This window comes from Homo sapiens, chromosome 2 (assembly GCF_000001405.40).
Source record: "Homo sapiens chromosome 2, GRCh38.p14 Primary Assembly".
NCBI lineage: Eukaryota > Metazoa > Chordata > Mammalia > Primates > Hominidae > Homo > Homo sapiens.
Genome location: NC_000002.12, coordinates 40,830,638 through 40,852,322, shown reverse-complemented (window position 1 = coordinate 40,852,322; position 21,685 = coordinate 40,830,638). Strand labels below are relative to the sequence as shown.

The following is a 21,685-nucleotide window of genomic DNA, read 5'->3' as shown; positions in this document are numbered from 1 at the left end:
ACCCTAAGGAACAAAGAGTTATGCTTGCATACTGACTTTAAGCTAATGAACAAGCAGTGGCTGACCTTTAGAAAGTTATTCATGACACCAAAGACAGCCAATCACCAACCAGTAGTGAATACAGGCTCACCATTCCTTTCACAGTAATGAAAGCTGATAGTTTTGAATGATAAATATCTGCAAAATGGTGCTGTGAAGCATATGCCACATCAGATTTAATTTCCCTAACAACTCTATCAGTTGTGATATTATAGCTACTTAAAAATTATTATTGCATTTCATAAGTGAGAAAATAGAAGTTTAGAAAGTTTCAGTAACAAATTCATAGTTATTCAGTTGGTGAGTGGAGGGCCTGTGATTAGAATCAGATGTCTCTCATATTAAACTCTCTGTAACCTTCACATTGGCTCTCTTAAGTGTGAGGTGAGTTGGAATGACAAGAAATGCTTCTGGGTGCATTTCTTGTTAGTTCCTCCTTGAGTCATCTGTGAAGTTAGTCAACTGTGAACAGAAAGTAATATTAGTGAGAATTTAGAAGTGCAGCATTGAAGATAGTAACAAGTCTATGTCAAAAATTTTAAATCATGAAATATATATAAAAAGTATTTTTATATGTGATTATAATAGGATATAAAAAGTAACCACATGTAGTGAAGTTAGTGCTATTATTGCTATAATATAAATAATTATAATATTTATATATTCTAAAATATCATTATAGAAATAATTTAATCTCCTATAAGGTGAATGTGACAGTTAATTTTAAGTGTCAACTGGATTGAAGTAGCACAGATAGCTGATAAGCATTATTTCTGGGTATGCCTGTGAGAATGATTCCTTAGAGAATGTCATTTGAATCAGTGGCCAGAGTAAGATAGCTCCACAATCAGTGTGGATGTGCACCATTCAATCTGCTAAGGTCTCAGATAGAACACAAAGGCAGAGGAAAGGCAAATTTACTTTATCTCTTCTGGATGTGGGAGACCCATTTTCTCCTGCCCTTGGACATGAGAACCCTAGCTTGCCTAGACTTTGGACACCAGGACCTGCACCACTGGACTGTCAGGTTCTCAGGCTTTTGGCTTCAGACATTACCATCAGCTTCCCTGGTTTTGAGGTTTTCAGATGGCTTGTCATGGGACTTCTCAGCCTCCATAATTGCATGAGCTAATTCCCTTAATAAATCTCCTTTCATGAGTATGTGTGTGTGTGAGTATGTGTGTGTGTATACATGTGTATACGTGTACATAGACTATTGGTTTTGGCTTTCTACAGAACTCTGAATGACACAGTGGGGCAGATTTCAAAATATTGTTCCAACAATCTTTCTAGACTAATATTCTACTTATTGCCATATTTTAATTTATTGAAGATAATTATCCTCAAAGCATATATTATCTCAACATAAATTTGTTATGAATTTTATGAATAAAATCAAATCCTTTTTTATTAAATAAGAACTGAGAACTCAGCAAACGGAGAGAGACAGGCCTAAGTAGGAAAGTAGGAAATATTGGGATTAAATAAACCCAGGGAGGATTTTTAAAACTTGGGAGAAGATGAATATTTGTGGGAAAACTGCTCATCTACAGAGCTTTCTGTAACCACTGAGACTGAGTTAAGAGTTCAGAGCACCTTATATGTACAATGATACTGCAGCATGTATGACATAATTGTCCTTTTACCTTTTTGACTTTCTCAGGAGATTTTTGAACTTGATGAGAACAGAGATAATTTCTTACTCAGTGATGAAACTCCAGTGTCTGATACATTACAAACATTCAATAGATATTTCTGCATAAATAAGTGAGTGGAGTATTACCTTTGCAATGCATGGCGAACAGTCTCATTAGTCAAATTAAGGACAGAGAATCTGCAGTAAGCTCAATTTGTTCACAATTATTTATTCCCTCCCATATTCTAATGGTTCCCCTATGGCAGGGTATACTTACCTACCTCTTCAGTAATAGGTTTGGCCTCTGAGATTTGTTTTGGAAAATAGAATAAGAAGGCTGGGTGTGGTGGCTCACACCTGTAATCCCAGCAATTTGCGAGGCTGAGGACTGCGGATCACTTGTTCAAAACCAGCCTGGAGTTCAAAACCAGCTTGGCCAACATGGCGAAACCGTGTCTGTACTAAAAATACAAAAATTGGCCAGACGTGGTGGCACACTCCTGTAATCCCAGCTACTTGGGAGGCTGAGACTTGAGAATCGCTTGAACCTAGGAGGTGGAAATTGCAGTGAACACCACTGCACTCCAGCCTGGGTGACAGAGTGAGACTCTATCTCAAAAAAAAAAAAAAAGAAAAAAAGAAAAAAAAAAGAAAAAGAAAAAAAGAAAATAGTATATGGGATGAAATGATAATGAGCTAGTTCTGAGATAAAGGCTTAAGAGACATCATGTGTTTTCACTCAGCCCTCTTGTGCTTGTGTCACTGAATAGGAGAGAAACATGGTTCCAGAAGGGGGAGAAATGATATGGAAAAGATGTGAACCCAAGCCACAGACTGAGTCAAGTCTGGTTAACCTTAGACACATCCACCAGAAGCATAATCTCCAGCAAACCAGTGACTGAGAAATAAATACTTGTTTTAAGAACCCACTAAATTTGGGGGTTGCTTGCTACACATTATTATTATGACAATAGCTGGATAAGGAAGCATCAGAAAGCCCTGGTAAGAGATAGGAAATATGTGTCAAATGTACTTGCTGAAAAATCACAATGGACTAGGCTATATGCAGAGATTCAAACAAGCTATAGATAATAGGTGTGAGAAAATTATCGTGACTCAAGATTCTCTTTAGTGATAATTCAAATGATATGTTTTATTACATTTTCACAGATTGGCATGTTAAATCATGATTGTAAACATTAAAGGAAAACTTTATTGGACAAACTACCTTTGAAACAGAGGAGGAGGATTTTATTGATCATGCTAGAATTTACCAGGAAATTCAGTAGTTTGCTATTTTTCTCAGCGTGGAAGCACAGACTATAGTAAATAAAAGAACCGGAAGAGAGATGTGTGTATTCATTAAGGGGGCAGAGTTTTCCTCAGTAATTTAGACTGAATAGATAGGAAGAAAGTTATACTTGAATCAAAAGAAGGAGTTTGATAAGCAGACATGGGAGGAAAATATTCCAGGCAGTGAAAATAATAAGTAAAAAGCCCACTAGTTATACATGAATATGGGAGGAATAGAAATCTTAGTTTTGAAGTCTAGAATTATTAGAATTATTAAAGGCCAGTGAGGGGGCAGGAGATCAATGTAGAGAAGTTGGCAGGAGCCATGCAGAGTTCGTTAGACCAATGCTTGAAGACCAATATTTGTCTTATACTTTAAAAACAATAAGAAGCCACTATAAGGTGTTAAGAATGAAGTCTTATTTCTGTGTTTAAAATACTGTGATATGAAGAATGGATGATAGTAGGGTGAGAGTTGAAAGAGGAAATCTTAGTATGCTTTTGGAATAGTGCAAGCAAGATATTTTGTCAAATTTTGTTGGTGTGGTAACTACCCCCACAAAAATTAACAGATGCCAGAAAATGGGCAAATTCAGAGTATATTTTAGTCTTGTTGATGGATTGTGGATGAATTAATTTATAGTGGAAATTAAAGATTATTTTTATTTCTGGGTAGCATCTGACCAGTGACTTCTTTTACTGAAATTGGAAAGCTTGATGGAAGCACAGATTTTTATAGAAAAATAAAAATATTTGCATTTACCTTGTTAAGGCTAAGATATATACAAACTTCTAAGAGTGTTTAGCAAGTAGGCAACTGGGTATATGAGTCTGGATCTTAGCTCTAAGAATGAGGGCTAGGGATATAAATCTGGGAATGGGTCAACAAATGAATGGCATTTAAAGCCATGAGCTGAATGAGATAGCATAATGAGAGAATGTACACTAATTAGTAATATATGGAATTGCATTTATAATATTATTATCACAGTGACCAGAAATGATTGTTTACTTCCCATCTCTCCTCCCCCTCAAATTCATCTCATGCATGTAACAGAAACTGATTATATCAACAATCTCTTTATATCTGTCAAAATTGATCATTATTCTATAATTCCCATCTTAAAAAAACTTTAAAAAATGAAATGTAATAGAAGTATGAAGATTAAGGCAATAAACTAGACTAAAATTTTATGTGCATTTAACACAAAGGACCACCCAACATTTTAAAATACTCTCTATATGTGATGGTAATTTCCCGCATTTGTGTTTCATCCTCACAAAATAAGAGCAGACAAAAAACCCTCTTATTTCCAGATTTACTTATCCTCAGCTGTTTTTTAGTTAAACATGACCTACGCAAGGTGGTGATCACATAGGGGAATTGATTATCTGGCAAGCATGATCATAAGGTATTTGACTGGACACAAGGGCAGTGGTGAAAGTCCTGGTGTCCAGTCCTGGATGCTATTAATGCCATGTGGAGGTGACAGGGGTATTTTTACTATGGCAGCCCCAATGAGTGGTTAAAAATAAAATCTTTGAGGCTGGCTGTTTGACCCACCCAAATATTATGTGACCCCTTATTAATTATTATCCTTTAATAAATTTATTTTCTGCTTTAAGCAAAATAATTTCAATATTTGCTATTAAGTCCTGATCAACTCAGAGATAAGTCACAAAGTTGTCTAATACTCTTTATAATATTTGTTCTTGAGACCTATGTCTTTGTTAAATTTTGTTGTTTGTTGTTGTTTTATAACATATATATATGTATATATATATGTGTGTGTGTATATATATATATATTTTTTTTTTTTTGAGAAAGGGTCTGGTTTTGTCACCCAGGCTGGAGTGCAGTGGTGCAATCATGGCTCACTGTAGCATTGACCTCCTGGGTTCAATAGATTCTTCCACCTCAGCTTCCTAAGTATTTGGGACTACATATGTATGCCACTGTGCCCACTTAACTTTTGTATTTTTTGTAGAGATGGGGTTTCACCATGTTGCCCAGGCTTGTCTCAAACTCTTGGGTTTAAGCAGTCCTCCTTCCACTTCGGTCTCCCCAAGTGTGAGCCACCATGCCCGGCCAACTTCAGCTTTTAATTCTTAGCAATCTGAGAATGCCAGGTTTAATTATATATAAAGTTATAACTAATATGTGCATTTATATCTGCTTCTACATGACTTTTCATTAAAATACAAGTTGAAGGATAAAATGGCAGAAAACTGCAAATAAAAGGTTGGATAAAGTAAAAGGGAAATCAGTCTACTACATTTCAAGATATTTACATAGCTACATTAATCAAGACTATGGTAACAGCAGAGGAATAAACTCATAGAGCAACACAATTAAGTAAAAAATTCAGAAATAGATGCATAAAAATATGCCAGACTGATTTTTGATAACATGACATAACTAATCGAATTCAATGGAGGAAAGATGGTCTTTTCAACAAACGATGAGGGAGCAATGAGCAAGGAAGCAAGCAAGCAAGAGAGAAAAGAACCTTCAGTTAAGTTACGTATCTTATACAGAAATTGATCTAAAATTAATTATGGACTTAAGTGTAAAACATAAAAGTATAAAATCTTTAGAAAAAAGCATAGGAGATATTTTTTAACCTAGGACTAGGCAGAGTTCTTAGACTTGATGCAGAATGTATAATCAATCAAAAGAAAAATTGATAAATTGGACTTTATTAGAACGTAAACTTTTGTATTATGAAAGGCTCTATTTAAAGCTACAGACTGGAAGAAAATATTTGCAAACCCCATATTTGATAAAAGGCTAGTATCTACAATATAGGAAGAACCTCAAAATTCAACAGTAAAAACTCAAACAGGTCAGATGCGGTGGCTCACACCTGTAATCCCAGCACTTTGGGAGGCCGAGGAGGGCAGATCACCTGAGTTTGTGACTTTGAGACCAGCCTGGCCAACATGGAGAAACCCCATCTCTACTAAAAATATAAAAATACAAAATTAGCTGGGTGTGGTGGCTCGTGCCTGTAATCCCAGCTACTCGGGAGGCTGAGGCACCAGAATCCCTAGAACTCGGGAGCTGGAGGTTGTGGTGAGCCGTGATCACCATGATCACGCCATTGCACTCCAGCCTGGGCAACAAGAGTGAAACTCTGTCTCAAAACAAAAACAAAAACAAAAAACAGTCTGTCCAATTAGAACCTGGCAAAAGAAGAAATATTTCACCAAAGATATATAGATGGTAAGTTAGTACATGAAAAGATGTTCAATATCACTATTAGTGAAATACAAATAATTCCCTCAATAAGATATTCTTACATATCTAGAATGGATGAAACATAAAATAGTGACCATAATAAAATTTGACAAAGACGCAGAACAACTGTACCACTCAGACTTTGCGGTGGGAATGAAAAATGATACAGCCACTCTGGAAAATAGTTCAATAGTGTATTTACTAAACATGCAATTGCCATAGGAGTCAGCTATCACACTCTTAATTGACATTTTTCCCATAGAAGTGAAGCTATGTTAACACAAAAACGTGTACTGAATATATATAGCAGCTTTATTCATAAGTGTCAAAAACTGGAAACAAACAAATTGAACTGCAATGGTTGAATGATTAAACAAACTGTGGTATCTCCCTACCATTGAATTATTCTCAGAAATGAAAAGGAACATAATCTTGAAACATGTAACAATCTGGATAAATCTACAGAGAATTAATGGGAAAAAAAGCCAATTCCAAAAGGTTGCATGCTTTATAATTCCATGCCTATAACATTCTTTAAATAACAAAATTAGAGAAATAAAGACTAGATTCATTGTTGACAAGAGCTAAGGGACAGGTGTGGGTGTGAGGAAAGTGGGTGTGGTAATAAAAGGGCAACACATGGGATGCTTGTGGTGCTGGAAATATTCTGTATCTTGAAGGTGTTGATGCCAATATCCTGGCTGTGATATTGACTAGAGTTTTGAAAGTTGTTACCATTGAGGGTAAGTCGGCAAAGGGCACAGGCTCTCTCTTTATTATTTTTACAACTGAATGTGAATTTATAAGTATCTCAAAATGAAGAGTTTAATTTTAAAAAGTCAAACATCTAAAATAATTATGGGACAAGTAAGCCAAATAAGACAAATACTATATGATCCCACTTATATCTAAAGTAGAATCTAAAATAGTCAAATTCATAGAAACATAAAGTAGAACAGTGGTTACCAATGGCTGGGAAGAGGGAAAAACTGGGGAAGTTGTTGTTGAATGGCTATAGAGTTTCAGTTTTGCATGATGAAACAGTTCTGGAGATCTGTTTCACAACAATGGAAATATACTTAACACTACCGAACCTTACATTTAAAAATGGCTGAGAAAGTAAACTGTGTTATATGCTTTTTTACCACAATAAAAAGTAATTACTGGGATTTACTCATTGGGAGATTTAAATCAGAGAGACACTGAATTAAGGCTCAGTGGTGCACTGATAAAGGAGAGACTCAGCTGGGAAGTTGTTTTCTCAACTCCAATTTTCTCACTCAGCATTTAGAGTACTATTGCCAACTGGGCTTAAGACATTGCGTTACCGGTGGAGGGTCTTGACTATGAGTCGTCCAGGTTCCTGGAGTTTTGAACAAAGAATTGGACATAATGCACAAACAAAGCAATGAAAATATGAAGCAACAAAAGCGGACATTTATTGAAATGAAAGTAGCCTCCACAGAGTGGGAATGAGCTCCAGGAAGTAGCTCACCAGCCCTGGTTACAGAATTTTCTGGTATTTAAACGCCCTCTACAGGTTTCCTGTTGGTTACTTGGTTTACACCTTATGCAAATGAAGGAGTGGCTCACTACCAGTCTGGTTGCGGAAGGTGACCCATGAGAGGCTGAAGTGAAGTTACAAAGTTATACTCCTGTGCAAATGAAGACTAGGCTCCTGACCAGTCTGATTGGTTGTGGGAGGTGACTAATCAGAGGTGCTTTCAATTTTTTATCTGCTATGCAGAAAAGGGGTCGGGGATTGCAAAGGGAGTAAACACTGGTCCTTTGGTTATGTGGGCGTGGAAAGTTGAGGTTTTCTTTTTGATTTAGTTCTAAGAAGTCCTAAGAAGTCAGCATGAATTGGCCTTAGGTTCCCTGCCTCCAGACCCTGTACTCCTGCCTTAATTAAACTATACATTGAATGGATTTTCCTCTGGAAAAATATCTGACATTAGAAAAAGACAAGCAGAAATTGATATTTGAGGAAATTTACCAATCCCTGTATGATCATTTCACTGTGAGTCCCGCTAATTGGTAAGTTCCTCTTGAGACATACCAACTTTCTAAAAGATATTTTAGTATATCGTTATTTTTATAATGTTTTGTGCATGGATATGAGTGTGAAAAGACACTAACTCTAAAGTAATATATGCAATAGATATGTAAAGTTTAAAGAACAATTTTATGTATAAACACCACCCAATCCAGGAAGTTCAATAGTAGCAAAATACGAAAACACCCTTGTGGCCTGCCCCTGTTTGATCCTCCCCTTTTCTCAGATTCTATAACTGCTTTGAATGTTGCCTTTTAACACTTTTGCTACATTTACGTGAATCCTTGGAATATTATATAATTTTATCTGTTTTTTAACATATAAATGGAGTCATATTATATCAATTATGATACCTTCTTTCATTCGGCATTAGGCTTTTCTCAATTTATGTCAGTGCATAACAGTGTTATTTATTTGGTCTTTTGTCTGTTTATTCTTTTGTTTAATTTTGTTTTGCTGTTGTAAGCAAGGTTTCATTTTATGCATTCTTGTCCATTTCTCTTAGTAAAGTGTGCAAGAGTTTCAGAATGGTGAAAAAATAGCATAATTCAACATATGAATGGTTAACTTTAGAAGATACCTTAAGGTCGGGCGCGGTGGCTCACGCCTGTAATCCCGGCACTTTAGGAGGCTGAGGCGGGCAGATCACCTGAAGTCAGGAGTTTGAGATTAGCCTGGCCAACATGGTGAAACCCAGTATCTACTAAAAAATACAAACAATTAGCTGGGCGTGCGACAGGTGCCTGTAATTCCAGCCACTCGGGAAGCAAAGGCAGGAAGATCGCTTGAACCTGGGAGGCGGAGGTTGCAGTGAGCCGAGGTCGCATCACTGCACTCCAGCCTGGGCAACAGAGTGAGACTCTGTCTCAAAAAAAAAAAAAAAAAAAAAAAAGTTAAATGTTAAATTGCTTTTCAATTAAACATACCAATTTAAATGTCCAAGAATATTTATCATGTTTTTCATACTCTATCAACAATTGGTAATAATTTAAAACTTTTAAACATAATGTTTTGTCTTTAGTAAAAAGCATCTAACTGTACTTTTATGGTTATTTACATAATTACAATAAGATTAAATATTTTTTGGCACATGCACTCTCTTTCCTGTAATATTTCCATTTTCTTTTTTTTTTTTTTTTTTTTTTTTTTTCTGAGACGGAGTCTCACTCTGTCGCTTAGGCTGGAGTGCAGTGGCGGGATCTCGGCTCACTGCAAGCTCCGCCTCCCAGGTTCACGCCATTCTTCTGCCTCAGCCTCCTGAGTAGCTGGGACTACAGGCGCCCACCACCACACCCGGCTAATTTTTTGTATTTTTAGTAGAGACGGGGTTTCACTGTGTTAGCCAGGATGTTCTCGATCTCCTGACCTCGTGATCCGCCCGCCTTGGCCTCCCAAAGTGCTGGGATTACAGGCATGAGCCACCGCGTCTGGCCTCATTGTTTGTTTTTATTGATTCATGTTTCTTTATATATTGTAGATAAAAAACATTATTTGTTATAGGCATGGAATATATAGTCTATTATGTTTGTAGCTTCCATTTTTGTTACCTTAATAACATTTTTGGTACACAAAATATTTTTTCATTTTAATGTACCCAAATTTATCAATATATACTTTTTTGGTTATGCTTTCTGTTTGAGTTCAATTCAGGAAATCTTTTCTTACCATGACATCCTAAAGATAGCATTCTATATTATATTCTAAAGTTTATATATCTGTATTCCACGTAGAAATGATGGTTTGAAAATGAGACAAAGGAAAATACAATTTCGATTTTTTAATATGAATGGCTAATTGGCTCAGCATCATTTATTTGAAAACTGCTTTTCTCATTAAATTTTCTAACTGTCATAAATTAAACTGCTGTGTATGGATACATCTAGGACTAAAATCTCTACTGTATTCTATTAGTTTCTTTAACTCTGTCCCCATTGTACAATGTCTTAATTATTTTAGCTTTATAATAATTCTTAATGCCTCTTAAGGTAATTTCTTCACCGAGAGTTTTGAGAGTGCCTTGCTTTTTAATAGATCTCTTATTCCCCGATGCTTTTAGAATTACTTTGTCAAGGAGGGAGGAAAAAAAAAAACTCTTGGCAATTACATTTGAATTATATTGAATATTCATATGTTCATATTCCTTTAAATTTTCCACTTGAAGTATACTGATGTGTCTATGGTATTGAATATTACAGTGAAGATACACAGTAAATCTTGCTATTTTGATTTTAAAAACTGGCAAGCATTTTACAATTGTCTCCCCAAGGTCTTTTCCTGTTCTTAGATTTATTTCTAAATACTTTAGAATTTTATGTTATAGTAAAAAGAATCTATTTTATTCCATTTAAAAGGTTTTTTTCCTGATATTTTGAAATGCAATTGAATTTTGTTCATTGATTTTTTTATCCAGAAATTTTGTATTCTAATAACATAGATACATACCTAAATACACACATAGATTGATTGAGTCAGTATGATTCTCTAGGTAGATAATCATATAATCCACAAATAATGAGTTTAATTTCTTACTTCCTAATCCTTTTATTTTATTTATGTGTATATTTATCTTTCCCGCATTAGTCATTTGGTTCTTCACTAATGGTGAATTAAAATGATTATAATAGGTACACATCTTTATTTCTAATCTTGGAGATATTACTTTCAATATCACAATATAGTTTTAATTTTAAAAATACTTTTGTAGCTTTACCAGGTTAAGGATGTCTCCTTAAACTGAAAAGAATCTTCTTTATTTTAATTTTTGAACCATAAACTGATGTTGAATTTTATCATATGCTCTTTGTGTATGTATTAATGTGATTATAACACTATTCTACTTTAATTATTAAAATGATAAATATATTGGACTTTTATGCAAAACAGCCTTGAACTTCCTAAATAAACTCAATGTAGGTAATGCTATAATTTTATACATTGCTTTCTCAGACTCATTAAGATTTTGGTAAGGGTATGTGCATTTATATCCATAAGTAAATTTGTCCTGTAATTTTTTATTTACTGTTCTTTTTGAATTTTGGTATCAAGGTTATGCTAGCATAATTAAATAAGTTTAAAAAAATCTTTTTTTCTACATTCTGAAATATAAGAGTGGAATTGATTAGTAAAACTCATCTTCAAAACTGTGTGGGAATGTATTTGTATTTATGTGACATTTTTAACTGTTAATCAGTGTTTATATTAGATTTGAGCTGTAGATTCTCTGTAATTTCTCAGGTTAGTTTTGATCAGTTATATTTTTCTGAATTTGTTTATTTCTCAAATATTTTTAGATTGAATCATATAAATTTATTCATATCAAAACCCAAGCAGATTTTTTGAGGAAAACTGATAAGCAGACATATTTTATGTTTATATAGAAGCATACAGAATACAGAATAGAATAGCTATTCTTAAGAATAATAATTGAAGGTTTTAAACTACTGCCTACCAAGATTTACCATGTAGCTACAGTTTTGAAGACAGGGTAATATAGGTCAATGTATGTGACCAATGAAACAGAATTGAATGTTATATACAGTCATCTGATATGCAACAAAGGCACGCCTATAAATCAGTGGGGAAAATAATTGTCTTTTTTGATAAGCTGTGCTGAATTAATTGGATATCTGAGGGAAACAAAAAGTGACCCTTGATTCCCTCTGTTACACCATACAAAAAATAAGTTTCAAGTGGTTATAAACCTAAATATGAAAGGGAAAACATAAAGACTAGAAAAATACATCTACATATGTTTTCATAATCTTGCCTTTGACAGTGATTTCTTTTTTATTTATGTATAATAGTTTTCTATATTTTGGGAGTTCATGTGATATTTTGATACCTGTATATAATGTGTAATGATCAAATTAGAGTATTTAGGATATCTATCACCTCAAAAATTTATCTTTTCTGCATATTAGAAAAAATTCCCAATTAGTACATAAAAATCCTGGTTATCAGAGAAAAATAAAATAGTTGAGTTTATTAAAACTAAAAGCTTCTGTTCATTTGAGTAGAGCAATAAAAGAATGAAAATGCAAACATATTGGAAGAATATTTTCAATCTATTTGCTGAATGACTTGTATTCAAGGAAGAGACAAGAAACTATAAAAAATCAGCATAAATAGTGAAGTATTTTAAAAAAATAGATTCCTAGATGCCAATGAACACATTAAAAGATAGATATTAGTCATAATAGATATGCAAATTAAATCCAAATCAAATAACACTACACAGCTACCAAAATTGTAATGAACAAGGTAGCAATTTTCAGGTGATCTTAAATAGGTTGAGCAACTATAAATACCATACTTGGAGGGAGTATAAATTTGTACAACTACTTCAGAAAATTGTATATTACTTACTAAAGTATATGCCCTATCCAACTTTTCTATGTACACATAGTAAGGGTACTATGTACACTCCTGCTATGTGTACATCCAAATAATGTGTGCATGACCACCAAAAGGCATATACAAAAATTTGCACGGAACCTTTACTTATAATAACTCAAAATTTCAAAACATCCAGTTTCCCTTCACGTAAGAATAGACATATAATTTTTGGTATATTTTTACCACATAATACCACCAAAGTAATTTAAAAAATTGCTGCTACATGCAACAACATAAATTAATCTAAAAAAATTCATGTGGAAAAAAATGTGCAAGTCCAGAAGTGAGTATTCTTTGTTTCTACTTATATGAATTTCAAAAACAGGCAAAATTAATTGATGATGATAGAAGTTTAGAGTAGTACTGATGCGTATCACCTGGGAAGGAGCCCAAGGCAAGCTTGAAATACACTATATCTTGATCTTGATGATGGTTACATATACAAAAATTCATTGAATATTTGAGATTTGGTCATTAAAAATGTAAATAAAAACATTAAAAGGAATAAAGATTACACACCAAAAGAGTTCACACCAACCATAAAATTCTAGATTGTGTGTCTACTAGGAAAAACAAAATATATGTCTGTGAATTATATGTCAAGTAAAATTCTTACAGAAAAAAATTCGGAGATGAAAATCAGGTGTGAATCTTTGAGAAGTGATTAGAAGAGGTTTGAGTTAAACACAAAAGGTTCCTGGGACATTCAAACATGATTCCATTATAATGAAAACTGATTTCCAGGAAAAAATCTAAGAAAAAATATAATTTCTTAATAGGACAAAAAAAGTCCTGACCATTAAAGAAAAAATGGTACAGTTGACTATTAAAATAAAAACTTCTATAGATACCAAAATAAAAGACAATGTAAGATACACACTGCATTTACTTATGTATTCAAGTTCTGAAATGAGTCTTTGTGTGTGACTATAAAGTGAAAATTTAAGCAAATCAAAAATAATACCTGAGTTGAGTGACAGGCTGCATTTCTAAGATGCATGTGGTAAGATGGCCCAGTAGATGGCCAGGTCTAGGCAGAGGGATGAGGGTGGGTGGGAGCTGAGGTGTCAAAAGGCTCAGGTCAATGACCTCTTCCTCAAGATTTGCTCTGGTTCAACCTTACCCTTCTCTGCTATCTTGGAGCTGACCTTGGAGCTGATCTTGGAGCTAATCTTGGATGACATACTGAAGACTTTGGAAGAGGAAGCATAGTTATATTAGGTGATGTGTTGAGGTGGTGATGTGGATTCAGTGGATTATGCTGCAAACTTTCACCATGAGGGGTCACACAAGATGATGTTGAGACCCACCAAGCCTATAAACACATGACTCACACCATGAGGAAAAAGAAGGGCTGCTTACCACTGAGTTGGAGCCCATGGGTGTGCAGGAAGAGGATGAAGTGGTAGTTTCAGCATGTGATTATGTATATATATACTCATACATATACATATGTAACTGTGTGTGTGTATATATATGAGAGAGAAAGGAAAGGGTGAGAAAAAATAAGAAAGAAAAGTTTAACTTAGTTGTAAGAAATGGCAACACCACACACAAACTTATATATGCGTGTACATATTTGTGTGGATGTATGTTTATAAATGTGTCAAAATTAAAATGGTTAAAATAATTTAATAAGGACAAAAGAAGAATTACTTCATTATGTATTTAGAAGGCATATGACAAGCTTTCATGGAGCCAGCTAGTATTTTGTTATCAACATCTAGTACTTAATAATTTTAATGATTTTTTGCATGGCTGGCTCATCTTGAAGCCAGTAATATTTATCATTTATTAGTTCTGGGGTTTGGTTTAATATTTTCCATAGTTCCAGCTACTTCCTCTTAATAATTATATAGCTGTTAAAAAGTAAGCAACTGCATTAGGTATTTATAATAAAAAAACACCACGTGAAAGAAGTAATCATCTATTCCTGGAAAGGATTCAGAAGTCTTGGGTTTAGATTCTGCCTCCTTTGTTGACTGTAGTTAACAAACACCACAGAACCATGCCTTTTTTCCCCATACTTATTCCTTTAGAAGTATTGATGAAATAAAAATAATTAAGAATTGTGCTGAATTATGCATGCAATAAACCATAATTCAATTTTATTTTTTAATAAGAATAGCTGTATAACTGAACGAAGCATATGTTTGAGTAACCACCACATGGCCAGAACTATTGTACTGAAATACAATAAAGAGTATAATAAATTAAATGATTATATACAAACAAGCAATTTATTTGGAAAATTTATCTACACACACACACGTATTTGCAGTAACAAGACTTGAATTATATATTAACACTCTTTTCCTTTCTTTTCTGTTCTAGGCAAACTGGCGGTCATACTCTTCTCTAAATGAGCCAACACTCCCTAGGAGACCTCAGTAGAACTCCCTCTTCTCTGCTGGAAAGGTTTTGCCTCCCCAGGACCCATCCCTCACCATCCATGCATGACATTCTGGCCTCAAGTATCCACTCCTCAAAGGTACTTCCTGACCACTTTGTTTAAAGCAATACATCTCAAACTTTAACATGTGTGTGAATCACCTGGGTTTTTATTTAATATGCAGTTTCTTTCAGTAAATCTGGGAAAAGTGGGGTCAAATTCCCAGGTGATGCCTATATTGATGGTCCCAGTGGCACACTTTGCCTGGCAAAGACTTAAAAGAGTCCTTCTCCCATTACTCTTGATCCTTTCATTCTGTTTTGTTTGTTTGTTTGTTCATTTGTTTTTTGAGACAGCCTCACTTTATCACCCAGGCTGGAGTGCAGTGGTGTGATCTTGACTCACTGAAACCTCCACCTCCCAGGTTCAAGGGATTCTTGTGCTTCAGCCTCCCGAGTAGCTGGGATTACAGGTGTGCACCACCATGCCTGGCTAATTTTTGTATTTTTAGTAGAGACGGGGTTTCACCATGTTGGCTAGGCTGGTCTCGAACTCCTGTCCTCAAGTGATCTGCCCACCTCAGCCTCCCAAAGTGCTGGGATTACAGACGTGAGCCATCCTCTGTTTTATTTTTCTCTACAGCACTTGCAATATCATAGCTTTACTACATTAGCAATCAGGTAGTAAGCTTATTTAGTTAGGTATGTGCTTGCTTATTGTCTGTCACCTCCAGGAGACTATATATCATGCAAGCTGGGACATCACATATGATATTCAACCGTGTTCTAAGTATTTAGAACTGTGGAACACACAGCTGGTGCTGAAAACTATTTGTGGAATAAATGGATGATATATCTGATGTCGCATGTAACAAATAGCAATTTTCAATATAACTTAGTTGGTTTATTTTTGTTGTTGTTGCTCTTTTTTGAGGGATGGAATTCAGGTACAAATAGTCCATTCTACATCTCAGTTCATAACACATTATCGCTGGAGTTTTTCTTCCTCACTTCTTTCAGATCCCCTTCTTCTTTCTTCTCCCATATACTTCTACTCTACTGTGTTAAATAGATGTCTCCTTAGATATTCGTACATCTTTGCAAAATACATGATATTATTTTATGAATATTTTTAAATTTAAGTGAATGCCATTTTGCCATCAATCTTAATCTGTTTTTATTTCCATTGGCAGTATTTTCAAGATTTATCCATATTGCTGAGAATACAATCAGTTAATTCTAATAACCGAATTGTATCCCACAGCACGCATCAATAATATTTTGCTTATCCATTCACTAGTGATAGGCTCCTACATGGCCTCCAGTTTTCTGCTATCACAAACAATTGAAAATCTACTAATACTCAGTAAGGACAATAAAAGTCTTGGCATATGAACTGCAATCCACTGCCTCCCTCCACCTTCTAAAGCAGAGTGACAAATTCCAGTCCAGGGGAGGGCAGTCAAGAACACAGGGCTTCCACTTCCTTCAGCTCCCAACTCAAAAAATCAGTAAAAAAAATTAAAATAAGTAAGACATCAGATTATGAAATAAATATTCACTTAATGCAAGAAAGCAATAAAGGAGATCGAGAAAGAAAATCTGACGGAAGTCATATAGAAACAAAAAGTAAAATTTCAGGCTTAAATCCAACTATATCCATAAAAACATTAAATTGCAATGGATAATAGCTTCTAATCAGAAGTCAGAGAGAATAAGATATAATTAAAAATAAAAGCTCCAACTATGTGCTGTCTACAATAGACACAGTTGAGATTCAAAAATGCAAATAGATTGAAAGCAAAAGAATTGAAAAAATGTGTCATGCAAATAACAATTATGAAACTAGAGTGGCTATATGAAATACCATAACATAGACATTAAAATATTATGGAAATAAAGAGCAACATTTATAATTAAACATTAATCAGGGAGATTCAAAATTATAGACTTACTTGCACCAAACAATAGAACATCAAATGCATGAAGAAAAATATGACAAAAATGGAGAAATGGGCAATTCAATAATAACAGTTAGATACTTTAAGGCCTCACTTGAAATATCGGATACATCAACTAAGCAGAAGATTAACAATAAGTAGAAGATTTAAATAACATTATAAGCCAACTAGACCTAACAGTCATTTATAGAACATCGCTCCAAAAACAGCAGAATGCACATTCTTTTCAAGTACATATGGAACATTCTCCACCATAGAACATATACTAGGTCATTTAAAAAATCTTAATACATGTATAGAATTGAAATAATACAAAATATGTTCTCTAAGCACAATGCAAGAAAATTAGAAATTTATATTGGAAAGAAATTTGAGAAACAAATCTGAAAAGTTAATCAACAAACTTTTAAATAATAAATGGCTCAAAAAAGCCATAAAAGGCAAATTACAAAATAGTTTGAGATGAATGCAAAATAAAATGCAACACACTAAAACTTATGGGAAGAAGCTAAAGCAGAGCTTAGAAAAAAAATTGCACATGTAGTTACCTATATTAACAAAGAAGAAAGAGCTCAAATAAATAACATAGCTTTCCATCTTAGGGCACTGAAATAAAGGAGAGTAAATCCAAAGCAACCAGAATGAAGAAAATAGTAGAAAATACAGTGGAAACAAATGAAAAAGAGAATAGAAAAGCAATAGAAAAAAAACGAAAAGAACCAAGTGTTAGTTCTTTCCAAATGTTAACAAAATTGACAAATCTTTAGACAGAGTGATCAAGGTGAAAAGAGAAAACTCAGATTACTAAAATTAGAAATAAAATAAACGACATAACTACTCACCTTACAAAAATAAAATTGATTGAAAAGAATACTGTTAATAATTGTATGCCAATAAATGATACAGCTTAGATGAAATGGACCATTTCTACAAGGACACAAACAACTGAAATTGACCTAAGAAGCCACAGAAAAATATAAATTGACCTTTAGGAAGGAAGGAAGGAGGGAAGAAGGGAAGGAAGGGAGGAAGGGAGGAAGGGAGGACAGATGGGAAGGAGGGAGGAAGGGAATTACATATCAAAAAACTCACAAAGAAAAACCCATACCTAGAAGTCTTCACAAATAAATTCTATAAAACACTTAAAAATAACCTATACCAATTCCTCACAAACTCTTTCAAAAAAGAGAAGGGGGGACTACTTCCCCACTCGTTCTATAGGTGAGTATTTCCTTGTAATCCAAACCAGACAAAAATGTTACCTGAAACACAGACCATTATTCCTTATAAGGAAGAACTAAAAATAGATGCAAAAATGCTGAACAAATTTTAACAAAGCTGCTGTTAAGCTCCTTAAGTGATTTCTTAATTACAGTTATTGTATTTTCCAATATAATATTTTCTCTTTGGTTACCTTTTGTAATATCTATCTCTTGAGCAATATCCTCCATTTGATGATATATCCTTCTTATACTTCCCTTCAATTCTTTAGACATAGTTTACCTACATTCTTTTATATAATAAAAGTTTAATAATGACTGAATTAAAATATTTTCCTAGTAAGTCCAACATCTGGCCCCCTCGGGGATAGTTTCCTTATACTACTTTTTTCTTGCATATTAGCCATACGTTCATGTTTCTTTTTGTGTTTTGCATTTTTAATTGAAAAGTAAATATACAAATTATTTAAGTTATTTATAAAATTAAAAATCAAGCAGTCATTAAAAGCCCTGAAGCAGGTTGATACATGCTAAAATAGAAAAATATTGAAGATATAATGCTAACTGCATTAAGAAAAGTATAGAATAGTATGTATGGTATGCTATCATTTGTGTTAAAAAATGAATATAAACAGATACACACCTATACAAATGTATAAGCATCAAAACATTTATTCTGAGGATACACAAGAAAGAAACTAGTAGCCTGGGCGACAAAGCAAGACCCTGTCTCTGCAGAAATGTAAAAAGTAACAATAAACAGGAGTGCTGTCATACTGCTGTAGTCCTAGCTACTCGTGAGGCTAAGGTGGCAGGACGGGTTGAACCCAGGAGTTCAAGATTGCAGTGAGCTATGATTGTGCCGCTGAACTAGAGCCTGGGTGACAAAGTGAGACTCAGTCTCAAAAAAAAAAGAGAAAGAAAGAGAGAGAGAGAGGAAGAGAGACAGAAAGAAAGAAGGAAAGAAAGAAGGAAAGAAAGAAAAAGAAAGAGAAAGAAACTAGTCACAAGATTAGCTTTGAGTAGAAGAAATTAATGGATGGAATTAAGGTAAATGATACATCTCATTTTTTACTATGTTACATTTTGTACTTCTTAAATTTCATACCCTGTGAATATTTGGTGCATTCAAAATATATTAATGTTATTTTAAAAATTGTCCTTTATTTCCACCTATGTCTCAGTCCATAACTCTTTCCATTCAAAATCAAGCTTCCTGGATGACTCGTCTAATCTAGTTTCTTATAATTCTCTCCAACTTCCTGTTTTCCATTAATAACTCAAAGCCCTACAATCTAATTTCTCCCCCATCATTCTACTTAAACTTTTTGCAGACATCGTTACTGATTTCCATAAGTGCAATTCTGTAATATCCAGTGATTGGTCTTCTGTATCTCAGTGTATGTTTGTCCCTTTTCTGTCACATCATTATATACACACATACTTTTTTTGTGACACTTCCATGTTAATATCGATCACAGCCTTGTTTATTTTGAGTTCTTTTTTTAATTTGTTTAAGATTCTCCTCATTCCTGGCTTTTCTCCTGCTCTTCCTACTTCTTTGGAAGTTATGCATCAATCTTCTTCCCAAGTTCTTATTATTCTCTTAAATATTGATGTACTGCAAGGATCAAGTCTTGGCAGAAAGCTCTTATTGCTCCTTACATAACCCTTAAGTTTTACCATTCACATCTAAAACTTCAGATTTTACTGAAATACTAATGACTTCCAAATCAATACTTTTGCGTAGCTATGCAGATGCTCCACGGATACATCTTATTCTATTATACAAGTAAAATATTGGATTCATTATTTATTACCTTTCCAGCTCAACCTCACCTCAACACCTAAGCCAAGAATCTGTAAATTGCCTTAGTCTCCTTTTTCATTTTACCCTTTATATCTACTGTTTTACAGTACTCTAGATTGTACTTTTTAAAAATGTCTCCAATTCATTCCATTTTTCGAATATAGTCTCTGTCTAAGTGCAAGTTATTAACACCTTTTGCATAAATTATGGTTATAAACTCCTTTCCGCAATGACTGTCTAACTGATCTTTCTGTCTCAAATTCCTGTTTTTCTAAATCATTCCCAAATAATATTTATAAAAGCACAACAATATGATATTAGGCTATTTTGAATTTTATTTTATCCTTTAGAATAAATATCATACCTTATTACTCAAAGCCATCTATGCTATGGCTGTTTCCAACCTCTTTTGCTTCATCTTTCCCCATTACCCACATGAACATTTGCTCCTTTCACATCAAATATCTACAAACTAATAAACTGATGTTTATGGCACAGCAGTTTTCCTCATCCTACTCTCTTCTCTTGGCCCATTCTTTTCCAGTTTTTCTTTTATCCAACCAACAGCATACTGCAAACGTCAGTTCAAGGATCATGTTTTCTCAGATTTCCCAAATCTCCTCCTATTTGAATTGGAGCCTTTACAGTTTTCTGGTGGTTTAGCATATACTGCATTGAGAATATCTCTGTAATTGTACTTATAGTACTTGACAGTTCTGTAATATCTGTCTGTCACTCATTAGAATGTAAGATTCGTAAAGGCAGAAGTCATGCATTATTCAACATTGTTTCTAACAGCACTCAGAAATATGTCTGACACACTGCCGCTTCTCAAAAAGGTTTGTAGATGACTAAATGGGGAAAAAAAAAGATTTGTGATGACTGTTCTTGCACATCTCCAGCTTGTTTATATTTACCACAGCCTGGGATAATAAACAGAAGAATTCAGGATAAGAGTGGGAAGAAATAGCGCATTACTTCAATTAATGATGAGGGGCATCTGAATATGACATGCATCCTGATACTTAAAGTGACTTTTGTAGATAAAATGGGCTTGAAGCACTATTGTTTATTAACTACTTTATTTCTGTGATTCATGTGCACGGGGGCATTTGTTGTATTTGGAATAATAAGGGACTTTTGTAGTAGTGCTTGTTATTGAGATTTAAATGCCCTAGGTGAACTCAATAGCCTATTGAAGGCATCTCTTTTTACCTTGCGCACATCTGCAATGGGTCATTGCTCTTCTGTTCTGGTACACTTTTCCACCATGCGATAATGTTAATAATAAAGCTATTCAATAGCACCTCTTGATTGAACCATATTTGACCTTATGAAACCAAGAGAATATTTCAGCAAGTCAGTTTATGTCAGTATGTATCGTAAATGTGAAAAAATGACATGTAATAGAATGCTATTTGTGAGCACTCTCTGACTCCAGAGCCATTGAGCTCTTCCTAACAAGGTTAAAAGGACACAGACAAAGCAAACCACAGAATGTTTACTGATCTGTACAGGATTACTTGGTTAAAAACCACTCTTTTTCTTGGTGACTTAAAGTTGTGAATATTGTCCTGAAAAGTTCAAACCCATATGGAAACCAGGATTGGCAACAGCTAAGGGATAGGATGGGACTTGTTCAT

At 34.2% G+C, this 21,685-nt stretch overlaps 1 long non-coding RNA gene across 5 annotated transcripts in view; it reads left to right on the top strand.

The window, feature by feature from the left end:
• Positions 1 to 21,685, top strand: part of LOC105374497 (uncharacterized) — a 291,527-nt gene that overhangs the window by 117,945 nt on the left and 151,897 nt on the right. For all 5 annotated transcript variants that reach the window (XR_001739421.3, XR_939995.2, XR_939994.2 and 2 more), the window contains exon 2: positions 14,995 to 15,151. This is a non-coding gene — a long non-coding RNA (uncharacterized LOC105374497). The remainder of the gene's footprint in view (positions 1 to 14,994; positions 15,152 to 21,685) is intronic.